A 26,911-nucleotide genomic window follows, 5' to 3' on the forward strand; every position below is an offset into this window, starting at 1 on the left:
AGAAGATGCACACGTTGTTAAGAGAACATGTACAGGGTGCCAGCATGACTCAAGTCAGAGGAGTGAGGCTTAAAGAGAGATCTGAAGATGCTGTAGAAATGAGTGACTGCCTCCTGGATTCAAGCGATTCTCCTGCCTCAGCCTCCCGAGTAGCTGGGATTACAGGCACCCGCCACCACGCCCAGCTAATTTTTGTATTTTTTTAGTAGAGATGGGGTTTCACCATGTTGGCCAGGCTGGTCTCGAACTCCTAACCTCAAGTGATCCACCTGCCTCAGCCTCCCAAACTGCTGGGCTTACAGGTGTGAGCCATGGCGCCTGGCCCTAGAGCAGTGGTTTTCAACCGGGGCAATTTAGTCTCCTAGGGGCATCGGCAATGTCTAGAGACAGCTTTGATGGTCACAACTGGTGGGAGTGACAGTGACATCTGGTGGGTAGAGGAGGCCAGAAATGCTGCTAAACATCCTACAATGCATAGGACAGCCCCCTCACTACAAAGTATTGTCTGGTCTAAAATGTGAATAGTGTTGAGGCTGAGAAACCCTGGGTTAAAGAGTGAATGAGATACTATTAATAATTACACCAGCCTGGGCAGGGTAGCTCACACCTTTAAGCCCAGCACTTTGGAAAGTTGAGGCGGGAGGATTGCTAGAGCCCAGGAGTTTGAAGGCTGCAGTGAGCCATGATCATGCCACTGCACTCCAGCCTGGGCAACAGAGAGAGACCCTCTCTCTCTCAAAAAAAAAAAAAAAATTTTTTTTTAATTAAATAAATAAGTTAATAAATACACCAGAATAACTGACATGATCCAGGCTGGTGCCAGGCACATTCATCCAGAGAGCTGAGAATCAGTCTTGTAGAGCTGAAAATGCCCTCAAAAGTGACCCGGGCACCCCCTCGTGTCTCAAGGAAGTTAAATAAATTGCCCAAGATCACATAATCATTCACATGCAAATCTGCATAATTCTTTTAGACAGCCCAGAGAAGACTTTAGCTGGGGCTGTAAAGCCACTGTCTAGGCCAGTGAACCCTGGAATAATCCTCCCTAAGACCCAAGGCCACCCAAACAATGGCCTCTTTTCAAGGAGACTTTCTTTCTTTGGCCTCCAGACTATTGTGGTTTTTATTTTGTTTGGTTTTTCAGACTGGGTCTCACTTTGTCACCCAGGCTGGAGTGCAGTGGTGCAATCATAGCTCACTGCAATCTCAACCTTCCAGGTTCAAGTGATCCTTCTGCCTCAGCCTCCCAAGTAGCTGTGACCACAGGCACCACACCCAGATAATTTTGATTTTTTAGAGAGGGGGTCTTGCTATGTTGCCCAGGCTGATCTCAAACTCCTGAGCTAAGCGATTCTCCTGCCTTGGCCTCCCAAAGTGCTGGGATTATAGACAACGGCCATTGCACCTGGCCCAAACTGTTCCCCTTAAGTCACTGAAACATACATTCTTCAGAGGTGAAGCTGGCTGGCATAAAATGTAAACATTTTTGAAGTGAAGGGGTGTGAACAGCTTTAAGTGTGAGGTTTTCTGTTTTGTTTTTTGAGGCAGGGTCTCGCTCTGTCATCCAGGCTGGAGTGCAAGTGGCGTGATCTCAGCTCACTTCAACCTCTGCCTCCTGGTTTCAAGCGATTCTCATGCCTCAGCCTCCCAAGTAGCTGGGATTACAGGCACATGCCACCATACCTGGCTAATTTTTGTATTTTTAGTAAAGACAGGGTTTCACCATGTTGTCCAGGATGGTCTTGAACTCCTGACCTCAAGCGATCCTCCCACATTGGCCCCCACCAAAGTGCTGGGATTATAGACGAGGGCCACTGCACTATCTTATATAAGGCACTCAACAATCAGACTATTCCCCTTAAGTCATTGAAACACACATTTCTTAAGTGAAGCTGGCTGGCATAAAATGTAAACATTTTTGAAATGAAGGGGTGTGAGCAACTCTGAGTGTGAGGTTTTAAAGGCTGTGGTGGGTTCCCTTGGGGGATGCCCAGGCTATTACAATAACTCCCTACTTTTTGCCTGAAGTGAGTGACAATGATGCCCTATCTCTCTTCCTTGTCTAGGGATCCTCCCCCTCCTTTGGCCCCACTAGGTCTCAGGCGGATGGGAGCCAGCAGGAAGTCTCACGTGTGCCTTTGCCACCTCCTCTGGTCCTGTGTCTCTATGCAGAGCTTCTCCCCTAGAACTCAAACACAAATACTTGCCTGGCTTAACATGGGCTCAAAGAGTTTACCTGGGACAATTTCAACAGCAATAGTCATATAATCATTGTAGCATTATTCATAGTTACCAACCTATGGAATCGACCTAAGTGTCCATCAAGAGATGAATGGATCAAGGAAATGTGGTATAAACACAATGGAATACTATTCAGCATTAAGAGAGAAGGAAATCCACTCATTTGCAACAACATGAACGAACCTGGAGGACATTGTGTTAAGTGAAATAAGCCAGGCACAGAAAGACAAATACTGCATGATCTCATTTATATGTGGAATCTGAAAAAGTCAAACTCATAGAAGCAGAGAGTGGAATGGTGATTACCAGGAGCTTGGTAGGGGCTTGGAGGAATTAGGGAGTTGCTGCAGGTAAAAAAAATTTCAGTTAGGCTGGGCGCAGTGGCTCATGCCTCTAATCCCAGGACTTTGGGAGGCTGAAGCAGGCAGATCACCTGAGGTCAGGAGTTCAAGACCAGCCTGGCTGACATGGCAAAACCCCGTCTTTACTAAAAATACAAAAATTAGCCGAGTGCAGTGGTGGGTGCCTATAATCCCAGCTACTCAGGAGGCTGAGGCAGGAGAATCGCTTGAGCCTGAGAGGTGGAGGTTGCAGTGAGCCAAGATCACGCCACTGCACTCCAGCCTGAGCAACAGAGCGAGACTGTCTCAGAAAAAAAAAAAAATCAGTTAGACAGGAGAAATAGGTTCAAGAGATCTATCGTACAACATGGAGACTATAGTTAATAACAATTTAGAGTATTGTATACTTGAAAATTGCTAAGAAAGGAGATTTTAAGTGTACTCACCACAAAAAAGGATGTGAGATGATGCATATGTTAATTAGCTTGATTTAGCTATTTCACAATTACACGTATTTCAGAACAACATGTTCTACACCATACATATGTAATTTTTATTTGTCAATTTAACATTTTTTAAAATATTAAAATAATTAAAAAAATTTCATGTAATCAGTAGTCAAACTGCTGTTCTCCCAACCTCCCTGATTTAGTCAAAGAAAATAAGGAAATACGGCCAGGTATGGTGGTTCAAGCCTGTAATCCCAGCACTTTGGGAGGCCAAAGCAGGTGGATTGTTTGAGTCCAGGAGTTTGAGACCAGCCTGGACAACATAGCGAAACCCCGTCTCTACCAAAAATATAAAAAATGAGCCAGGCGTGGTGTCATGTGCCTGTAGTCTCAGCTACTGGGGAGGTTGAGGTGAAAGAATCAGCTGAGCCCAGGAGGTTGAGGCTGCCGTGAGCCATGATTGTGCCACTGCACTCGAGCCTGGGCAACTGGAGTGAGAGCCTGTCTTAAAAAAGGAATATGGGGAAGCAGAAAATAGACATGAAGAAACAAAGCTATGTCTGGTCTTTCCAGGTAGACTGGGCTACACAGTTGCTAAAACTTAATAGTGGTTCCACTGTCAGGGAAAATAACACAGCCGACAGACAGATTTTTCTGGTTTTTCATTCATGAAGTGTTCCTAATCATTTGGCCTGTCTATATTGGTCTACACTGGAATCCAGTAGTAGGTGAAACTGACAGCAATATCCCACACACTTGGGATACATCAGATCCCACCCTTGTGAAACTCTCATGAGGGAAGACAAACACTAAACACAATAAATAAGCAAATTATAGAGTTTATTAGCGATGATACGTGCTATGAAAAAAAGAAAAAGGAGAATATGGTATTGGAGGATAGAGGAAGAAGGCTGCAGCTTTTTTTCCAATTATGATTAAATACACATAACATCAAACTTACCGTCTTAACCTTTTTTTTTTTTTTCTGAGACAGAGTCTCACTCTGTCACCCAGGCTGGAGTGCAGTAGCACGATCTTTGATTACTGCAACCTCTGCCTCCCAGGTTCAAGTGATTCTTATGCCTCAGCCTCCTGACTAGCTGAGATTATAGGTGCATGCCACCACACCTGGCTAATTTTTGCATTTTTAGTAGAGACGGTTTTCACCATGTTGGCCAGGCTGATCTTGAACTTCTGGCCTCAAGTGATCTGCCTGCCTTAGCCTCCCAAAGTGCTGGGATTACAGGCGTGAGCCACTGCACCCAGCCCAATCTTAACCATTTTTAAGTATACAGTTCTCTGGCATTAAGCACGTTCACATTGTTGTACAATCATCACTACCATCCATCTGCAGAACTCTTTTCATTTTGCAAAATTTAAATTTAAATTCAGTACCATTAAACACCAACTCCCCATTCCCTCTCCCCCCACCACCGAGTTCCTGGAACCACCATTTTACTTTCTGTCTCTATGGATTTGACTGCTCTAGGCACCTCATATAAGTGGGATCATGCTGTATTTGTCTTTTTGTGACTGCTTTATTTGCACAATGTCTGCAAGCTTCATCTGCATTGTAGGACTGCCCAAATTTCCTTCCTTTTTTTTTTTTTTTGAGATGGAGTCCCACTCTGCTGCCCAGGCTGGAGTGCCACGGTGTGATCTCAGCTCATTGGGACCTCCATCTCCTAAGTTCAAGCGATTCTCGTGCCTCAGCCTCCCAAGTAGCTGGGATTACAGGTGCATGCCACCACACCTGGCTAATTTTTGTATTTTCAGTAGAGACTGGGTTTCACCATGTTGGCCAGGCTGGTCTTGAACTCCTGCCTTGGCCTTCCAAAGTGCCTCGGCCTTCCAAAGTGCTGGGAATACAGGCATGAGCCACTGCACCCGGCCAAAATGTCCTTCCTTTTTTAAGGCTGAATAATATTCCAAATGTGGATAGACCACATTTTGTTTCTTGAAAATTGCTAAGAGAAGAGATTTTAGCAATATTGCACAATGGAATATTATTCATCCATTCGTCAGTCCATGGGCATGGGTTTTCATGTTTGGCTATAGTGAATAATGCTGCTGTGAACATAGAAGTACGAATATCTCTTCAATACCCTGCTTCCCATTATTTTGCATCTATAACCAGAAGTGGAATTACTGGGTCACATGGCATTATTTTTATTTTTACATTTGAGGAACTGCCATACTCTTTTCCATGATGGCTACACTATTTTATATTTCACCAACAGTGTGCAAAAGTTCCAATTTCTCTACATCCTCACCAACATTTGTTATTTTCTGATTTTTTTGGTCTTTCTTTCTTTTTTGAGACAGGGTCTCATTCTATCACCCAGGCTGGAGTGTAGTGGCACATTCATAGCTCACTGCAGCCTCAAAACCCTGGGCTCAAGCAATCTTCCCTCCTCAGCCTCCTAAGTAGCTGGGACTACAGGCACACACCACCATGGCTGGCTAGTTTTTCAAAATTTTTGGTAGAGACGGGGTCTTGCTTTGTTGCCCAGGCTGGTCTCACAGCTCTTGGCTTCTAGCATTCCTCTCGCATTGGTCTCCCAAAGTGCTGAGATTATGGGCTTGAACCACCATGCCCAGCTCAGGTATTTTTTATTTTAATAGTAGCCATCCTGATGGGTATATGAGAGGGCTGCAAATTTAAAGAGAGTTATTAGGGTAAGCTTTGGTGAGAAGGTGGTATTTGAGACTTTATGAGAGTGAAGCAGGTACCTTGGAGAAGAGCTTTCTAGCGGGTGGATCCTGAGGCAGGAGCCTGGCTGGCATGGCTGAGGAACAGCAGGGAGGCAGCAGCATGAATGGGTAGGATAGTGAAAGAGATGAGGTGAGATGGGAACCATAGAAGATTTTTGAGCCAAGGAAGGACATGATCTGACTTTTAAAGAATCCCTCTGGCCACTGGGTTGAGAATGGGCTATAGGGAGGCAAGGGCAGGAGCGGGAAAACCAGCACAGACATCATTGCAATCAATCCCAGTGAGAGAGGATGGATACTTGAACCAGAGGATTGCAGCAGAAGGGGTGGGAGTCTGGGTGTTAAGTTGAAGGCAGGACCAAAGGATTTCTTGATGGACTGAAAGTGAAATGGGGCCAGGCATGGTGGCTCATGCCTGTAATCCCAGCATTTTGCGGGGCCAAGGCGGGAGGGTCACTTGGAGCCAGGTGACCAGCCTGGCCAACATGACAAAACCCCATCTCTATAAAAAATTAGCTGGGCATGGTGGTGCATGCCTGTTATCCCAGCTACAGGGGTGGCTATGATAATCGCTTGAACCTGGGAGGCAGAGGTTGCGGTGAGCTGAGATCACACCACTGCACTCCAGCCTGGGCAACAGAGCGAGACTCTGTCTCAACAAAACAAAACAAAACAAAAAAGTGAAATGGGAGGAAGAGGGGAGTCTAACTTGACTCCAAAGTTTCCGGCCAAATGGGACAAATGGAGTTGTTATCAACTGAGATGGGGGAGGCTGAAAGAGGAGCAGGTGGAGGACGGACGAAGAGTTCAAGTTCAGACATGTGCTCTCACACCACACCAGACATCTTCTTAGTGTTTTGCACAGGAGAATGTGGCTTCCAGGCGCTCCTACTACCTAATAAGTTGGAAGATCAGGGAAACGAATGCTGAGTGGAGGAAAACAATACCAGCACCACAAATCGAGACCATACTCAAAGCCAGGCACTGTGCTGAGAGCTTCCCAGCGATTATCTCTCTGATCCTTACAACAGCCCTGCAGGTATTATCACTGTTCTGACTTCACCGATAGGCACTCAGCCTTGGGGAGAAGAAGGCTTTGGCCCGAGGCCACCCAGATAGGGCCGGAGCCAGAGTTTGAACCCAGATCTGCCTGAGTCAGTTTCCACATTTTTACCTCTGCTATTGATTAAGACCGGCAGAAGTCAGGGGCAGATTTATTAAAATGGTGGACCCAAACTCAATCTTGAAAGACAGGGTTTGTAAGAAAGGAGACAGTAGATTCAGCAAATGCAGGATGATGTCCCAACTCCTTGTCATATACTACAAGACCCTGGATGGCCTACTCCCTGTTATCCTCAGCAGTTTCCCCTCAAGCCACTTGTTCATTAATGATCTTTTGGCTGATTTTGAGACACACCAAGCTTTTTTCCCAATTCAGGGCTTTTACCCATACAGTTTCTTCTTCCTGGAATGTTCTTAATCCTCTCTCTTTTTCCTGAAATCATATCTCCAGAGGATCAGGTCAAATGTCACTTCCTCAGGGAAGCCTTCCCTGATACCCACCTCCCATCTAAAACTAGTTTCCTTACCTGTACCCTGCATTAGTTCTTTTTTTTTTTTTTTTGAGACAGGATCTCACTCTGTCACTCAGGCTGGAGTGCAGTGTCATGATCATGGCTCATTGCAGCCTTGAACCCCCAGGCTCAAGCAATCCTCCTGCCTCAGCCTCCCTAGTAGTTGGGGCCACAGGCATGAGCCACCAGACCTGGCTAATTAAGAAAAAAATTTTTTTAGTAGTAACAGGTCTCAATATATTCCCCAGGCTTGCAGTAGTTCTTGATAGCACTTAAGACAATTCTCATAATTATTTGCAATGATGTGTTCAGTGTCCTCCCTCCTACCAAACCAGTGCTGTCCAATAGAACTTTCTGCAATTATGGAAATGTCCTAGACCAGGGGTCCCCAATCCCTGGGCCAAGGACCCGTAACGGTCTCTGGCCTGTTAGGAACCGGGCTGCACAGTGAGCCTTGGGTGAGTGAGCATTACCGCCCAAGCTCCACCTCCTGTCAATCAGCAGCGGCATTAGATTCTCATAGGAGCGTGAACCCTATTGTGAACTGACACACAAGGGGTCTAAGTTGCAGGCTCCTTATGAGAATCTAATGCCTGAAGATCTGAGGTGGAATGGTTTTATCCTGAAACCCCAACCCCATCCCCCTACCTAACCACCCCCATCCATGGAAAAATTGTCTTCCAAGAAACCAGTCCCTGGAGCCAAAAAAGTTGGGGACTGCTGGCCTACACGTATGCTGTCCAATATAGTAGCCACTAGCCACATGTAGCTATTGAGTATTTGAAATGTGGTTAGTATGACTGAGGGACAGATTTTTTTAAAATTTTACATTATATATATACACACACATTTTTTTTGAGACAGAGTCTCACTGTGTTGCCCAGGCTGGAGTGCAGTGGCACAATCTTTGCTCACCGCAACCTCTGCCTCCCAGGTTCAAGAGATTCTCCTGCCTCAGCCTCCCAAGTAGCTGGGATGTGCCACCATGCCTGACTAATTTTTTTTGTATTTTTAGTAGAGACAGTGTTTCACCATGTTGGTCAGGCTTGTCTCGAACTGCTGACCTCAAATGATCCACCCACCTCGGTCTCCCAAAGTGCTGGGATTATAGGCATGACCCACTGCACCTGGCCACATATTTTCTATTGTATATTATATATACATTTTATATTCTTTATTATACTATATAAATTATTTCATGTACAAAATGCATACTTTAAATTCATTTAAGTTTAAATTTAAATAGCCACATGTAGCTAGTGGCTAAATGTACTATTGGACATTGCAGCTCTAGATTGCGAGGTGCTTAAGCGCAAGAACCATTCTACCTTACTCAGCTGTAGAATCCTTTGTACCTAGGATGGTATCTAAGTAAATCAGTGAAAGAATGGATGGATGAATGAATGAATGAATGAATGAATGAATCGATCAATCAGTGTCTGCAAACTTGCTTTCAAGAAATCATCCTAGAAAGAACAGACCTAGAAAAGTCTGATTTGCACAAGGTCACACAAAAAGGCAGAACTGGATGCAAACTCTCAGCCTCCCAAATCTCCTCTATGTGGTGCTGTCCCAGAGTGGACAGCATGTGAAAAACAATGGTCTTTTGTGGTCTCAAATGAACCACCCCAGAGCTGTGTGAGGGTTCCTTCAAGTGTGAGGAAGGACTGTTTCTTAGACTCCCTCACTCCCTTTCCCCATTCCCCAACCATGTGAACTACTTAGTGGCTTATAATCTGCTAACACTTGGCCTCCCACGGGACTGAGCCTATTCCAAAGTCCACTCTTGCCAACCCTCTACAAGGCACTCTGAATTTTTTTTTAGCCATATTGCTCTCGGGAAATCTGCTGCCTGCAATCTGTGCATAATATACGAAGGGTGTGGTTTAAAAAACATCTAAATCGTGATTTGTAACCCACTCAGATTCATGTGGCCATTCCTTTTAGCTTACTCTTTTTTTAGAAATTGAGGTCAACACATTTCAGGGCTAATTTTGACTTCATTCAAATGTCATTTGGGGTTTGCAGATTAAGATTTTGAGGGAGTCCAGTACAGTAAACCTACATATTTTGTTTATATAAATGATTTTTCAGATGTAATAATAGTAATAGCTAATATGCATTGAGTGCTTTGTGTCTGCCCGGCATTTGGCATACATTATCTCATTTGATCTTCACAATAACCTTATGAATTAAGTACTGTTATGATCCTCATTGTGTAGCTAAGGAAACTGAGTCTCAGAAAGGTTAAGTCACTTGCTTAAAGTCACACAGCCAGGAAGTGGCATAGTAAGGATTTGAACCCAAGTATGTCTGATTCAAGAGATAATGTACTTAACCAGTACACAATTTGGCCTAATAGATAATATATGTATTTATGCCTATTAAGCACCAGAAAGAATAATCAAGAAACTTAACTCTGGGGAATAGAACTGGGGTTTGAAAAGAAAGGAGACTTACTCTTTATTCTTGTGCTTCTCTTTGAACTTTATTTACCTTTATTTATTGGTACATTGTATTATATTCCTATAAAAACCTAAATTTTTACATTTAAATAAGTGAAAACTTCTTATTTTTGCTTTTTTTAATTAAAGAAGGAATTGTCATGATAATGTCAGGTCTATATATTAGTAGATTAAATATACATGACCCTTTTGCAAAGTTCATATACACATGAATCTTTGAAAAGTTCACATCCTCTGACATTATTGAAAAATTTATCCCAGGAAAACCACAGTTCCAATATGTAGTCTAATTCTGAGTACCAAAGTTCACATTTCTGATATTAAATTATTTTTTATTGGGGGTAATCATTTTATTTTTGAACATGATATTTATTCTCAATAAAAGTTGTATGTTTTCCTTGGGAAATTTGTAATCAGACCTTTACATTTTTATGTACTGTTATATCTACGTCTGGATATTATTACTGAACATCCTCTAGCATTTGTGAAATAATGCTGTATTACATAATCAGATATACTATTTGTGGATCAATTAGTAAAACTTTAAAGCAAATTTTAAATTAATTAAAAATTTTGGTGAAAACTAATTTTACTCTGATTGAAAAGTAAACATTACAATCCCCTTCAGTACTCACAGCCTCAGAGAACTGTATCAGTCACACTAAAAGTCACTTGGGAGAATTCCTCAGTAGATTATAGAAAAAAATAATCCACCATTTTTAAAATCAAGAAAATACACACACACTAACTATAATTTATCCTTTCTAACAATCCCAAAGGGAATCTACTCTTACCACTCAAATGGCTAGTGCTTCTAAAAATTAAAACAACCCCTGCCCCACCAATGTTCTTTTTAATGCCCCCTCTCATACTCTTGGAATTTACTTAACAAATCACTATCTGCTTGTGGTAGGAAAAATCTGTAAGCCCCTCTACAAGGCCCCTGTCCTTTCGGTTGCTTGATATTTCCCCCAGATTCTCAGAGCAAATTTGGTTTTTCTTAAAAATCGCCATCCTCAAAGCAGTATATTCCTGATGTTCCGACAGTGAGTCTCACTCTAGCTAGCTGCTACAAAAACCTTTCATTCAGAAGAAGGCAAGAGGTTTCACCGACCGTGCACAGCCCTCTCATTCACACACTTCATAAACAACAGGACTTTGCCCAACCCTCTCCTCTAGGAAGGCATCCCAGTTTTTTTTATCAACCAGTTTGCAGCATCAGTATCATTCCCTTCCAAAAGACCTTGCAGAAAAATTATGGATTTCACAGCATAGGATTAGGGCTGGAAAGGACCGATGTCATTGCATAGACTCACCAATTCTGTCCACATTTCAAAACAGCAGCTAATGCTTTCTTAAAGCTCACATCTGAAAATCCTTTTAGGATTGAGAGCAATTAAAAGGGGAATCATAACCCCCGTGGTTCCCCCATAAGGTCCTGACAGATCTGATAAATGGAACTGAGTCAGAGATACAGAGGCTGGGCTGCTGGGGAAAGAAAATGGCTTGTCTCCTCCAGGCCCTAATTCCTTCCTCTGAAACAGTTCCCTTTAAATTCAAGAAACCATGCAGAGATGTACCCCCCCCCACCCCCCTTGCAGGTTTTCGTTTTTTAAAAGAAAGCCTGTCTGCCTCTTGCTCGCCCCCATGATACTCACGGCAGCTGCCTTAGCTGGAATAAGTCCTCCTCCATGTCCGCGCTGCGCCAGGATGAGCCCTTCTCATGGCCCTTACATGGTAGTGGTGGATGACGAGCCCTCCGGTTTTCAGCACCGGGAAGCTGGACAGCACCCGCGCCGCTTCCTCCCTGGAGCAGCAGCTGTTCGGGGAGGGAGCCGCTGGGGACCAGCCCACGAGACAAAGCCTCCGCCGCCAGGAGACCGCGGCGAGAGTGGGCGGAGAAGAGGAGGCGGAGGGCAGAGCGAGCTGCGCGGGGAGAGGGGGCAGGGAGAGCCCTTCTGCTTGGAAGAGTTCACAGGCTCTCTGGCTGATGGTGTATCACTGGGATGCCTATAGGGCACACCAGTCTGTGAAATGGTTGTCCGGGTACCAGTGAGCACCCTTTGATTGACGATGCGTGTCTAAATGTTTATTTGCGTGGATTCATTAATGTTATCCGTATAACACTCTTGAAACCCAGGCTGCTGTAACAAATACAGGCATGCATTTAAGTACGGTTTACTGAGCACCTATGTGCCAGGCACTGTAATAGGCACTGGGGGTATGACAGAACAAATTCGACCTGTCATTGTCATCGTGGAGCTAAGGGTCTAGTGAAATGAATCAAGAAAAGAAAAATGTAAATTAGGTATGAGAAGGCCAAAGATCACTCATTCTTTCAACAAGCGTTATTGGGTGAATTCTACAGCCCTGACCCTGGGGAATAAAAACATGAGTAAAATAAAGTCTCTGCCTTCAAGATCCTAGATAGTTTAATGGTTCCCCTAAGCCACCTCTCACTAGAATTTCTGACCCCTTTAGAACTTAAGCTCCATGAGGTTTCACTGATGTGTCCCAAGTACTAGAACAGTGTCTGGCACATAGAAGGTACCCCATAAATATTTGTTGAATAAATGGTTCTCAGTTCAGGCTGCATATAAGAATTGCCTGGCTCCATTTCAAACCAATTGAACTCAACTCTCGGGAGGTGGAGGCCAAGCCTGGGTATTTTTTATTTTTTCAATATTTATTTATTTATTTTTGAGACAAGTTCTTGCTCTGTTGCCCAGGCTGGAGTTGCAGTGGCATGATCATGGCTCATTACAGCCCCAACCACCTGGGCTAAAGCAATCCTCCCACCTCAACCTCCCTAGTAGCTGGGATCACAGGCTCATCCCAGCATACCCAGCTAATTTATTTATTGTAGAGATGGGGTCTTGCTTTGTTGCCCAGGCTGATCTAGAACTCCTGGCCTCAAGCAATCCTCCCATCTCGGCCTCCCAAAATGCTGGGATTATAGATGTGAGCCATTGCGCCCGGCCTCAGGGTATTTTTTAAAAGCTCCCCAGCACCATGAAGTGGAAACCCCTGATCAAGTGTGAACAAATGAAAAGAAAAGCTGGAAAATTATACAACAGAAAACTACTAAGATGATCCATGATGGCAACTGGCAAAAGCTATGAGAATGACCGTTGAATGGACACTTACAAGGAACTAAAGGAAGAAGGAAACATTTTTTTCTTTTTTTCTTTAATTGTTGACAAAGGGTGGGGGAAGTTGGAAGAGGGAACAAGAAAACCAATCTGAGAACTGAAAACAATCTCACATCGAATCCATAAAAGGACTTGAAAATCCAAAATTGAATGTGTGCCAGGCACCCGGATATGTACTTCACCATGGTCCCCTTGATCTTTGCAACAATCCTATGAGCAGGTGTGATTTTTATCCTTATTTTGTAAGATGAGGAAACAAGGCTCAGAGAAGGGTAGATTTGCTTGCACAAGGTCATGAGGACAGGAAAGAGTTGATCTGGACTTAAAACCCCGGCAGTCTATCTCCACAACCTGCGCCCTTAAATGCTAGGCTTTCTCTGAGTGTCTCAAAAGAAACCATCCATTGCGGGTATAGTAGGAGAAATTGGAACTATTGAAACATTGGATAACTTTAAACAAATCTAATGTTGGGAAAACCAATTATACAGTGGTACTCAAGCTCCAATGTATTATTTATCTAGTAAATATTAATGAGCAACAACTATGTGTCTGTCACAATGATAGTTTGAACTTATTCATGGCTCCTTCTCACCTCATACTGGAGTCAATCACAAGTTGTCCCACCCACACTTATTTCTAAAGGAATCTCTCCCCCATCCCTGCTGTGCACTACATTTGGTATCACATGATTCCTGGCCACAGCTGATTGGCTAAGAGGGTGGACACTTATCTAAAGACATCCAATCCAAACACTTGTCAGTATCCCCATTGTTGCATAGCTGGGAAAGGGAGCTGGACAACCTGGTACCTTTTCGATTATGGATTCAAATGTCTCTGAAGGTTTTTGCTTTAATTACCCCTTTTCCCTCAATCCTGGTGTCAGGTGGGGCTCTCTAGGGCTCTATGAATATTCATTATGCTCACTCTAAACAGCCCTCTTAGGGGTCGGGTACCATGGCTCACGCCTATAATCCCAGCACTCTGGGAGGCCGAGGCGGATGGATCACTTGAGGTCAGGAGTTCCAGACCAGCCTGGCCAACATGGCAAAACCTCGTCTCCACTTGAAAATAAAAAAACTTAGCCAGGTGTGGTGGCACAGACCTGTAGTCCCAGCTACTCGAGAGGCTGAGGCAGGAAAATCGCTTGAAGCCAGGAAGCAGAGGTTGCAATGAGCTGAGATCGCGCCACTGCACTCCAGCCTGGGTGATAGAGCGAAACTCTGTCTCAATAAATAAATAAATAAATAAATAGCCCCCTTATCATCCCATTTCAGCTTCTACTCATGTGCCTTAATCAGGACTTTTTTTTTTTTTTTTTTTTTTTGAGACAGAGTCTCTCTCTGTCACCCAGGCTGGAGTGCAATGGCGCAATCTCGGCTCACTGCTACCTCCACCTCCCGGATTCAAGCAATTCTCTGCCTCGGCCTCCCAAGTACCTGGGATTACAGGTGCCCGCCACCATGCCTGGCTAATTTTTTTGTATTTCTAGTAGAGACGGGGTTTCACCATCTTGGCCAGGCTGGTCTTGAACTCCTGACCTTGTGATCCACCTGCCTCGGCCTCCCAAAGTGCTGGGATTACAGGTGTGATCACCACCGCGACTGGCCAATCAGTATTTTTTGATGTTCAACAGAGACCAAGTCAAGTTCCTTCAAAGGAAAAAGGGAGTTTGCAGCCTGGAACTGGAGAGTGGTTAAAGCAGGCTCAGTCCTGGGGACTCTCTTCCCAGCTCCACCTCTTCCTGGGTGGGTAACCTCGAGCAGGTTGTCTAACTTTCCGTGCTTGCATTTCCTCATCAGAAATACGGGGATCAATAACCATAACTACTTCATAGGGTGGTGGTCAGAATCAAAGATAAAATGGAGGTGAAGGACCACACACTTGGATGGCACATAATAAGTGTTAGCTGTTGCAATGGTTAAATTAATTTATTTTAATTTTATTTTTTGAGACAAGATCTGGCTCTATCATCCAGGCTGGAGTGTGGTGGTGTGATCTCAGCTCATTGCCACCTCCACCTTTCAGGCTCAAGCCATCCTCCCACCTCAGCCTCCCGAATAGCTGGGATTACAGGTGTGCGCCACCATGCCAGGCTAATTTTTGTATTTTTTATAGAGAGGGGGTATCATCATGTTGCCCAGGCTGGCCTCAAACTCGTGAGCTCAAGCAATCAACCTGCCTCGGCCTCCCAAAGTGCTGGGATTGCAGGCTTGAGCCACCGTGCCCGGCCACAATGATTAATTTTAAGTATCAACTTGGTGGGTTTAAGGAATACCTAGAGAACTGGTAAAGCAGCATTTTTTTTTTCCCGAGACCGAGTCTCGCTCTGTCTCCCAGGCTGGAGTGCAGTGGCGCGATCTCAGCTCACTGCAAGCTCTGCTTCCCAGGTTCATGCCATTCTCCTGCCTCAGCCTCCTGAGTAGCTGGGACTACAGGCGCCCACCACCACCCTGGGCTAATTTTTTGTATTTTTAGTATTGACAGGATTTCACCATGTTAGCCAGGATGGTCTCGATCTCCTGATCTCGTGATCCACCTGCCTTGGCCCCCCAAAGTGCTGGGATTACAGGCGTGAACCACCACACCAGCCTAAAGCAGCATTTTTTGGTGTGTCTGTAAGGGTGTTTCAAGAGGAGATTGCTGTGTGAGTCTGAGTGGACAAAGTTCAGGAAGATCTGCCCTCGATGTGTGAATGAGCACCATCAAATCAGCTAGAGGCCCAGACAGAACAGAAACAGAGGAAAGGTGAGTTGATCTCTTTCTCCAGGAGCTGTTTCTTCTCCTGCCCTTGGACATCAGAACTGCAGGCTCTTTAGTCTTTAGAAACCAAGACTTACATGTGTGGCCCCCTTGGGTTTTTGGGCCCTTGAATTTGGCCCAGCATCCCAGGGTTTCTAGCTTGCAAATGGTCTGTTATGGAAATTCTCAGCCTCCCTAATTATGTTGGCCAATTCCCCTGATAAATCCCTTCATGTATTATATGAGAGATACCTTATATTTATATCTATGTAATATATTATATTATATGAAGATATTATTTATCTTGTTGGTTTTGTCTATCCGGAGAGCTCTGACTAATACAGTGCTTATCATTATGTTGCTCTCTTCACCCCCCAGCCCCCAAATCAATATCTTTTCTACTACCTTAAAATGTTAGCTGGCCTATGAAGGATAAGAAAAATAGATGGTATTGGGAAAAACTAAATCCTCCTCAAGTTTATGGAAATCAACAGAACATGTCCAAAATTGAGAAAACAAAAACTAGCCATATGAGTATCTCATATAGAAATTTGCCTGTAGATACTAAAAGAAGCAGCTAAAAGACTGAGAGTGGGTGGAAGTGGAACTGCCACTTTTTTTTTTTGACAGGGTCTTGCTCTGTCACCCAGGCTGGAGTGCAGTGGTGTGATCACAGCTCACTGCAGCCTGGACAGTAATCCTCCTGCCTCAGCCCAGCTCTAGCGATTCTCCCACCTCAGCCTCCCGAGTAGCTAGGACTACAAGTGTGCACCACCACACCTGGCTAATTTTTGTATTTTTTGTAGAGATGGAGTTTTGCTTCATTGCCCAGGCCGATCTCAAACTCCTGGGCTCAAGGGATCCTCCCACCTTGGCCAAAGGTGCTGGCATTACAGGTGTGAGCCACTGACCCTGGCATGAAGCGTTTTTTAAGTTGTAAATTTTTGGTACTATTTTATTTTTAAAACCATGTGTATCTTACTACCATGATTCTTTTAAATAATTTTTTAATTAAAATAAATTTTTTGAAACAGGGTCTGGCTCTGTTGCCCAGGCTGGAGTGCAATGATGCAATCTCAGCTAACTGCTACCTCCACTTCCCAGGCTCAAATCATCCTCCCACCTCAGCCTCCTGAGTAGCTGGGACTGCAGGCGCATGCCATCACACCTTGCTAATTTTTGTATTTTTGGTAGAGACAGGGCTTCACTGTGTTGCCCAGGCTGGTCTCGAACTCCTGGGCTCAAGTGATCCACCCGCCTTGGCCTCCCAAAGTGCTGGGATACAGTTGTGAGCCACCAGACCTGGCCTAAAAATAATTTTTATTGTGGTAAATACATATGTCTTAGCCAGGTCAGTTGCCATAACAAAATATCATAGTCTTGGTGGCTTACACAACAGAATTTTTTTTTTTTTTGAGACAGGGTCTCTGTCACTCAGGCTGGAATGCAGTGACATGATCATGGCTCACTGCAGCCTCAACCTCCCAAGCTCAAGTGATCCTTCCACCTCAGCCTCCTGAGTAGCTTCCTGTAGTAGACCGTAGGTGCGCACCACCATGCCCACCTAATTTTTGTATTTTTTCTGGGGAAGGAGTCTCACTATGTTGCCCAGGCTGGTCTCAAACTCCTGCATTCAAGCCATCCACCCACCTCGGCCTCCCAAAGTGTTGAGATTACAGGTGTGAGCCACTACACCCAGCCCAGAAATCCATTTCTAACAGTTCTAGAGGCTGACAAGTTCAAGATCAAAGTGCCAGTATAGTTAGGTTCTGGTGAGGGCTCTCTTCCCAGCTTGCAGATGGCCACCTTCTCTCTGTGCTTACATGCTCTTTCCTTGGCACATAAGCATAAAGAGAAAGCAAGCTCTCTGGCATATTTTCTTATAAGGGCACTATCTCATCATGTCAGCCCCACCTGCATGACCTTCTGTAACCCTGATTACTTCCCAAAGGCCCCATTTCCAAATACACATTATGGGGTTAGGGCTTCAACATATACATTTGGGGTGGACACAAACATTCAGTCCTTAACTATGTATCATAAAGTTTGAAGTGTACAATTTAGTGGCTTAGAGTATATTCATAATGTTATATAACCATCACGCTATTGACTTCCAGATCTTGATCATCCCAAAGAGAAACTCTACCCATTGAGTAATAACTCCCTGTTCCTCCCTCCTCCCAGCCTCTGGTAACCTCTATTCTACTTTCTTTTTTATTTTTATTTTTTAGAGACAGGGTCTCACTCTGCTGTCCAGGTTGACGTGCAGTGATGCAATCACGGCTCACTGCAACCTCAACCTTCTGGGCAATCCTCCCACCTCAGCCACTGGAGTGGCTGGAACTACAGGTGCATGCCACCATGCCCAGCTAAGTTTTATTTATTTATTTTTCTGTAGAGACAGAGTCTTGCTATGTAACCCAGGCTGGTCTCGAACTCCGGCTTCAAGCAATCCTCCTGCCTCAGCCTCCCAAAGTGCTGGGATTATAGGTGAGTGCCACAGTGCCAGGCCTATTCTACTTCCTGTTTCTATGAATTTGCCTACTCTAGTTACCTGATAAGAGTGGAATCATACAATATTTGTCCTTTTTATGTGGCTTATTTCACTTAACATAATGTTTTCAAGGTTCATCTGTGCTGTAGCATCTATCAGAACCTCATTCTTTTATATGACTGAATAATATTTCTTTGTAGGTATATGGCACATTTTGTTAATCCATTCATCTGTTGATGGACACGTGGGTTGTTTCCACCTTTTTGGCTATTGTGAAGAATGCTGCTATAAACATTGGTCTACAGTGTATCCCTTTGAGTCCCTGTTTTCAATTCTTATGAGTATATAAATAGGAGAAGAGTTGCTGAGTCATATGGTAACTATGTTTAAGTTTTTGAGGAACTGCCAAGCTGTTTTCTACAGCAGCTGTACCATTTTACATTCCCACCAGCAATGCACAAGGATTCCAATTTCTGCACATTCTCCTCAACACTTGTTGATAATAGCCATCCCAGTGGGTGTGGAGTGGTCTGATTTGCATTTCCCTAATAACTAACAATGTTGAGCATCTTTTCATGTGCTTATTGGCCACTGGCATATCTTCCTTGAGGAAATGTCTATGCAAGCCCCTCACTCATTTTTTAATTGAATTGTTCGGGGATTTTTGCTGTTGAGTTGCAGGAATATTCTATTAGGCCATTTTTGTATTGCTGTAAAGGAATACCTGACACTGGGTAATTTATAAAGAAAAGAGATTTAATTGACTCACAGTCTGCAGGCTGTACAGGAAGCATGGCGCTGGCATCTGCTTCTGGTGAGGGCCTCAGGAAGCTTAGAGTCATGATGGAAGGTGAAGGGGAGCAAGACAGAGAGAGGGGAGGTGCCACACCCTTTTTTTTTTCTGTTTTTTTGTTGTTGTTGTTGTTTTTGTTTTGAGATGTAGTTTCCCTCTTGTCGCCCAGACTGGAGTGCAATGGTGTGGTCTCAGCTCACTGCAACCTCCACCTACCAGGTTCAGGCAATTATCCTGCCTCAGCCTTCTGAGTAGCTGAGATTACAGGCGTGTGCCAACACGCCTGGCTAATTTTTGTAATTTTAGTAGAGAGGGGTTTCACCATGTTGACCAGGCTGGTCTCAAACTCCTGACCTCAGGTGATCCACCCCCCTCAGCCTCCCAAAGTGCTGGGATCACAGGCATGAGCCACCACACCCGACTACCACACACTTTTAAACAATCAGATGTCTTGTGAACTTACTCATCACCACAGCAATGGTGCTAAGCCATTCATGAAGGATCCACCCGCATGATCCAAACACCTCCCACTAGGCTCCACCTCCAACACTGGAGATTACATTTTAACATGAGATCTGGAGGGGACAAATATTCAAACCATATCAAATGTCCTTGAGATTTGAAAATATTGATGTATAATTAAAATGTTGGCTTGTTGTGGTCCTTACCCAATTACAGGGCATCTTTACAACTCCTGCTCAGCTCAGCTATGAATCATGTCAAGTTTCCTACCTTCTAAGAGAAGCTTCTGATTGCCACAGTACATCTTTTTAAGCCAGTTTATATAGATCATGGAGAGTTCTCACAGAAAGATACTGGCTGCAGCTTGGTCCAGATGTCTAGCTCTGGACCTGCGGTCAGTGTAAGAATTAAAGAAAGAGGAAAGAAACATGAAAAGTGGTTCAACTGTCAAAGACAAGTTTATTTTGGAGAATAAACCTGAGAGGGGCTTCTGGCCGAGTTAGGTCAGAGGCACTCTCTCTGACAGACTAAAAGTTTTTAAGGGTTCAGGGCAGGAGAGCTTATCACAGGCTTGGAATGTTTCTGTGTCTCTGTCTTGCTTATCTGGGAGGGAGAGTTTTGTGTCTGTTTCCATACATCTCTCTGACACTACAGGCATATCCCCTGAGTGTGCATTTAGCTTCCCTATCTTAGTGCACCTAAAGGGAAAGGAATGTACTTATTAGGGCACACTGTTTTACTAGGGCCCATTGTATGAGTGTGAAGTTTGGTGGTTACCCAAGAGACTTTCCACCCTCCCTCCGTGCCTGAGCTATCTTATCTGTGTTTTACTGTCTGCTCTTTCTGGCTGCTTACTGTTAGAAGAGAAGTGATTTCCTTGAAATGCATGAGGTTAGAAAGGGACCTGGAACAAAGTGGCAGTGTTTATCCAAGATGACGGTGCTCCTACTCTGTCAGACAGGGCATATGGCAGTCCATAACAGAGAACACAGCTGCTGAGAAGGCAGGGCTATGGGTAGGGCCGGTTCCTAGAAGGTAGGGTGAGAGGGGCAACCTTTGATTAACATTAATGGTACCCTATCTGTTAAGGCCTCTGAGAAAGTTCCCCGAGTTCTCCAGCCCTCCCATAATCCCTCCTCTCCCATCTGTACAACACTCTACATTCTTAAACAAGCAAATAGTTTATTTCCAGTAATCATTATTGAAATACGTGTTGAACTATATTTTCTGCCACTGAATACATGTTCACCTTCTTCCTGCAAGTTACGCTGTAAGATTAAGGCAGGGAACCTACTTTATACCTTTCCCACACCTACAAAAATCCTGTCGCCCTGCCCAGCTGTCAATCATTGTGTACTGGGCACCAGCTTTGGAGTCAGACACACTCAGCTCTGTGACTTACTACCTGTGTGATGGTAGACAGATTATTTTCCCTCTTTGAGTCTCAGTTGCATCATCTGTAAAATAGAGACAGATACCAACCTGCAGGTCTATTGTGTGGATTAAACAAGATGATGGATATTCATGTGCATGGCAAATGATTGTATGAAACAAATATATGTCAAACTCCCACTATAAGCAAGATCCTAATACAAGATCTTAAAACAAGTTTTTGAAAGAAAGGGGATATAGGGAGATGTTTGATCAAGGTGTACAAAGTTTCTTTCATTTATACAAGATGAATAAATTCTGGAGATCTAACGTACAGCATGGTGACTATAGGTAACGATACTTGAAATTTCTTAAAAGGGTAGATTCTAAGTGTTTTCACCAGACACACACACAAAAAGGTAGGTTGCTTGTTTGTTTGTTTGTTTTTTGAGACGGAGTCTCACTCTGTCGCCAGGCTGGAGTGCAGTGGCGCTATCTTGGCTCACTGCAACCTCTGCCTCCCAGGTTCAAGCAATTCTCTGCCTAAGTCCCCCGACTAACTGGGATTACAGACACCTGCCACCACGCCTGGCCAATTTTTGTATTTTTAGTAGAGAGAGGGTTTCACCATCTTGGCCAGGCTGGTCTTGAACTCCTGACCTCATGATCCACCTGCCTCGGCCTCCCTAAGTGCTGGGATTACAGGCGTGAGCCACCGTGCCAGGCCGATTGTGATTCTTTTACAATGTACACATATATCAAATCATCAAGTTGTACATCTTAAATATATACAGTATTTTTAAAATCAGGGGATGCTGAGCAAAGGGTATACCAGAACCTTCTGTTCTGTCTTTACAACTCTCCTGTAAATCCAAAATTATTCCAAAATAAAAAGTTTAATTTAAAAAACTAAAAAAAAACATACTTTTGAGCCATCTTAATATAGTATATTTTATAGAACTAGATAAACATGTTCAATGTCTATTTAAAATTTTAATTTATTAATGTGACTACACGCATTGGAAATGGCATATTACATAAAACAACAACCCATTTACAAATGCTACTTTTGTCCATCATTTTTATGGAACAGTTTCATTCAAACTCTACACATGTGTCCTCAATGGCATTGTCTTTGTCATGCTGGATCCACTTTTTTACTCACTTAACTCAGTTTTTTTCCAGAGCACATCATCTTCACTTCCAATTCAGCTGTATGAGGTATAGCACTTTTAAAATTTGCCACTGACAGTTTCTTTAAAAGTTAAACATAGAATTAATTACTCTATGATCTGGCAATTCCACTCCTAGGTATATACAAAAAGAATTAAAAACAGGGACTCAAACAAAAACGTGAACAACAAATGTTCATAGCAGCATTATTCACAATAGCCAAACAGTGGAAGCAACCCATGTGTCCATCAATAGATGAATGGATAAACAAAATGTGGTCTATCCATGCAATGGAATATCATTCAGCCATACAAATGAATGACGTTCCAATAGAAGCTACAATATGGATGAGGCTTGAAAACATTATGCTTAGTGAGATAAGCCAGTAACAACAAAAAAATATTGCATGATTCCCCTTATATGAGGTCTCAAAAGTAGTCACTCATAGAAACAGAAGGTAGAGACGAGGTGTGATTACTCGGGCTTGTAATCCTAGCACTTTGGGAGGCCAAGGCAGGAGGATTGCTTGAGCTCAGGAGTTCGAGACCAGCCCTGACAACATAGCAAGACCTCATCGCTACATTTTTTTTTAATTAGTCAGGTGTCATGGTGTGCATCTGTAGTCCCAGCTACTTGGGAGACTAAGGTAGGAGGATCACTTGAGCCTAGGCAGTCAAAGCTACAGTGAGCCATGATTGTGCCACTGCCCTCCAAACTGTGTGGCAGAGTGAGACTCTGTCAAAAAAAAAAAAAACACGGGCAACATGGTGAAACCCGTCTCTACAAAAAAAAAAATTACCTGGGCATGGTGGCTTGTGTCTGTAACCCCAGCTACTTGGGAGGCTGAGTCAGGAGGGTTGCTTGAGCCCAGGAGGCAGAGGTTGCAGTGAGCCAAGATCATGCCACTGCACTCCAGCCTGGGAGATAGAATGATACTGTCTAAAAAACAAAATAAATGCTCTATGCAAAACTTGTATTTAAATGTTCATAGCATTATTATTCATAACAGCCAAAAATTGGAAACAAGTCAAATGTTTATCAAATGATATGAATGGATAAACAAAATGTGGTATACCCATACAATGGAATATTATTTGTCAATAAAAAAGAAATGCAGTACTGATTATGGTGTAATATGGAAGAACCTTAAGAACATTGTGTTAGGTGAAACAATCCAGACATAGAAGGCCACATGTTGTACATATTGTGTGATTTCATTTACATGCAACATCCAGAATAGGCAAATCCATAGAGACAGAGAGTAGATCAGTGGTTGCTTAGGAATGGGGTTGTGGAGGGGGAAATGGAGATTGACTGCTAATACATATGACGACTCTTTTAGAAGGGACAAAAATGTCCTAAAAGTAGATGTGATAGTTGCACAACCCTGTGAATATACTTTAAAAAACCCCTATTAAATTGCACACTTTAAAGGCAGCTGCCTCCAGCCCACCACATTATCCATCTGTCTAGGAAATGGGGGCATGCCAAAAGCCAGATGGGTTTTATTTCACACCAGAGCAATGCATCATGATTTCCCCCCTCAGATTCTTAAAACAAAAGTGAATACTTTAAGGGAGACTGGAATAGAGACTGACAAGCTGCCCCTTAGCCTGAAATACTGAAAATAAAAAGCATGTGCTATGTACAAGCAGTCCCCCAATCAACTGTGTTCTAAATCCTATTCTTATCAAGACAGTATTCTACCAGTTATGAAAATGGCACTTAATTTTTTAAAAAGAAGCCCATGGACTTAAATTCAAAAAATGGATTTGTCTTTTTTTCTTTGAAACTTAAGTTGGAGTGTCAGAGTCAAATAAAATATAGAGGTGAACCTCTAAACTTAAAACATGTTATTTGAGAAGGAAGAATTATACTTCAAGGCATACCCATAGACCGGGTAGTCTTCAGTATGTATAAAGAACAAGCGAAGTTTGGAGGTTTTATAAAATGGAGAAATGTTACATGTTATTTTGAAAGAAAGTTCATTGGCACTGGTAAAGTTTGGAGGAGCTGGCAAATTCTGACTGGTGAGTGACAGGGATGGGTAACATTAGTCTTCGAGTCACAGCAGGTTGTTTTAGTAACACTGGTTTCAGGTTACAGCAGGCAGTTTGAGCAGCCAGGCTTGCAGAGAATTATTAATATAGCCTTGGAGCAATGCTATGTGCCCTGAGTACTTTTTCTCCCTGGCCTCTTGACTCTGTTTCAGTTGGGTATGACAAGAATGACCAAATTTGTATGATCAAATTTCACATGATTTAAAGAAAAAAAAGTGGGGGAATAAAACATTGATGGAAAGTCCCTAGTCTGCTAGCCATGCTGATGGGATGGCACTTCCATCTAGAGTCACTCCCAGATCCCTGGCACTGTGCTGGGAGCAGGTAAGTACCTCTTGACTTTGCCACAGAAGCTGGTAAAGAGGTGAGGCTTGGTTAAGAGGTTAAGCCCTTGTTAAATAATGTAAAGGTGCACAACTTTAAGGAGTCCCTGGGTCACATAGCTCATCCCTCCATGAAAATACAAGATGTCTAATCAGTACAATAACTAGGGAGGCCAAAAAGGGCAGAGAGAAAAACTGTGTAGCTTGCTCAAAGGACAAACTCCAAAAGTCTCCTAGTAAAACCCTAATCCCTCAGATAATGTGTTCCCAGAGGGCCGTAACATAAACAAGGGGAAGAGGTAATTCAGAAGCTGGTAAACCTGTCCAGACCTAAGGAAAAGCTCTCAAACAAAAACAGCTCAACGTGTCTGAGTCGTTGTTTTCAAAGGAATAGTGGTCTTCTCTCCACAATATTGTGACTTGTACCTCGTGTTTTTATTTTTACTCAATTTTCTAATTTCCCTTGTTAATGTTTCTCTTACCTATTGGCTATTCAGGAATGTGTTGTTTAATTTCCACATATCTATAAAATTTCCCAAATTCCTGTTTGTTATTGATTTCTAATTTCATTCCATTGCAGTTAGAGAACATATTTTATATGATTTCAATTCTTTTAAATTTTGAGGCTTATTTTATGGCCTAATATATGGTCTATCTTGAGGAATGTTTCATAAGCCACTTGAGAAGAAAGTGTATTCTGTAGGCCAGGTGTGGTGGCTCATGCCTGTAATCCCAACGCTTTGGGAGACTGAGGTGGGAGGATCGCTTGAGCTCATGAGTTCAAGACCAGCCTGGGCAACATAGTGAGACCCCCATCTCTATTAAAAAAGAAAGAAAGAGAGAAAATGCATTCTGCTGCTGTTGGGTGATGTGCTCCATAGATGTCTGTTAGAAACAGTTTATAGTGTTGTTCACGTCTGCTATTTCCTTGTTGATCTTCTGTCTAGTTGTTCTATCCATTATTGAAAGTAGGATATAGAAGTCTCCAACCATTACTGTTAAATTGTCTATTTCTCCCTTTAATTCTGTCCTTTTTTTTTCATTGTATTTTGGGCCTGTATTGTTAAGTGCATGTATGATTACAATTGTTTTATCTTCTTAATGAATTGGCTCTTTTATCATTATAAAGATTTTTTGGTTTTGAGTAACAATTTTTGTCTCAAAGTCTATTTTGTCTGATATTAGTGTAATTACTTCAGCTCGCTTTTGGTTGCTGTTTGAATGATACCACTTTTTCCATCCATTTACTTTTAACCTATTTGTGTCTATGAATCTGAAATGAGACTCCTGAAGATAGAATATAGTTGGATTATTTTTTTCACTTTGCCAATCTCTGACTTGTAATTGTAGAATATAATACACTCAAATTTAATGTAAAAAATTAATGTAATCACCAATAATGTAGGATTTACATTTTACTATTTGCTTTCAATATGTCATGTCTTTTTTGCTCCTCAGCTCCTCCATTACTGTCTTCTTTTGTGTTCAATATATATTTTCTAGTGTACCATTTTATTTCTTTTGTCTTTTCTTTCACTATATATTTTTGAGTTATTTTCTTAGTAGTTGCCCTGGAGATTACCATTACCATTTCAATTTGTTTATTTATTTTATTTTATTTTATTTTATTTATTTATTTTGAGATGGAGTCTCACTCTATTGCCAGGCTGGAGTGCAGTGGCACAATCTCGGCTTACTGCAACCTCCGCCTCCCGGGTTCAAGCGATTCTCCTGCCTCAGCCTCCTGAGTAGTTGGGACTACAGGCATGTGCCACCATGCCCAGCTAATTTTTGTATTTTTAGTAGAGATGAGGTTTCACCATGTTGGCCAGGATGGTCTTGATCTCTTGGCCTAGTGATCCGCCCACCTCGGCCTCCCAAAGTGCTGGGATTACAGGCGTGAGCCACCACACCCAGCCACCATTTTGATTTATAACAATCTAGTTTGGATTAATACCAACTTAATTTCAATAGTATATAAAAACATTGCCATATGTATCTCACTTCCCCTTAAGCTGTTATTGTTAAGATTACATCTTTAGGCATTGTGTGCCCATCAGCATAAATTTATAATTATTGCTTTATGTGGTTGTCTTTAAAATCAGATACACAAAAAAATTATATACAAAAAATACATGGGCCAGGCACAATGACTTATGTCTGTAATCCTAGCACTTTGGGAGGCCTAGGTGTGAGAATTGCTTGAGCTCAGGAATTCCAGACCTGGTCAACATAGTGAGACATCATCTCTGCAAAAAATAAACAAAATTAGCTGGGCATGGTGGCCCATGGCTGTAGTCCCAGCTAATTGGGAGGCTGAGGTGGGAGGATTGCTTGAGACCAAGAGGTTGAGGCTGAAGTGAGTCAGGGTTTCACCATTGCACTTAAGCTTGGGTGATAGAGTGAGATCCTGTCTCAAAAAATATGTATATATTTATACTTTCTTTTATGTTTACCTATGTAGCCAACTTTACGGATGCTCTTTATTTCCCCATGTGGGTTTGAATTACTGTTAGTGCCCTTTCATTTTAGCCCAAAATGTTCCTTTTAGTATTTCTT

At 42.9% G+C, this 26,911-nt stretch overlaps 2 protein-coding genes across 4 annotated transcripts in view; one reads left to right on the forward strand and one right to left on the reverse strand.

Annotated features, from left to right (window-relative positions):
• Window positions 1-11,678, reverse strand: part of SVOP (SV2 related protein) — a 113,328-nt gene extending 101,650 nt beyond the window's left edge. Inside the window, exon 1 of the mRNA NM_018711.5 lies at window positions 11,444-11,678. Coding sequence (NP_061181.1) covers window positions 11,444-11,478 — 35 coding nt within the window. The 5' untranslated portion in view covers window positions 11,479-11,678. The remainder of the gene's footprint in view (window positions 1-11,443) is intronic.
• A 2,020-nt stretch (window positions 11,679-13,698) lies between these two features.
• The window catches only part of USP30 (ubiquitin specific peptidase 30), a 64,935-nt gene continuing 51,722 nt past the window's right edge, over window positions 13,699-26,911 (forward strand). For 2 of the 3 annotated variants that reach the window (XM_047429732.1, XM_017020052.3), the window contains exon 1: window positions 15,413-15,682. The gene's annotated coding sequence lies outside the window, so the exon portion shown is untranslated. Of the gene's footprint in view, window positions 13,778-15,412; window positions 15,683-18,074; window positions 18,167-26,911 lie in introns of those variants that run through there. The other variant, NM_001301175.2, reaches the window with a different exon arrangement.

Source organism: Homo sapiens, chromosome 12, assembly GCF_000001405.40.
Source record: "Homo sapiens chromosome 12, GRCh38.p14 Primary Assembly".
Lineage (NCBI taxonomy): Eukaryota > Metazoa > Chordata > Mammalia > Primates > Hominidae > Homo > Homo sapiens.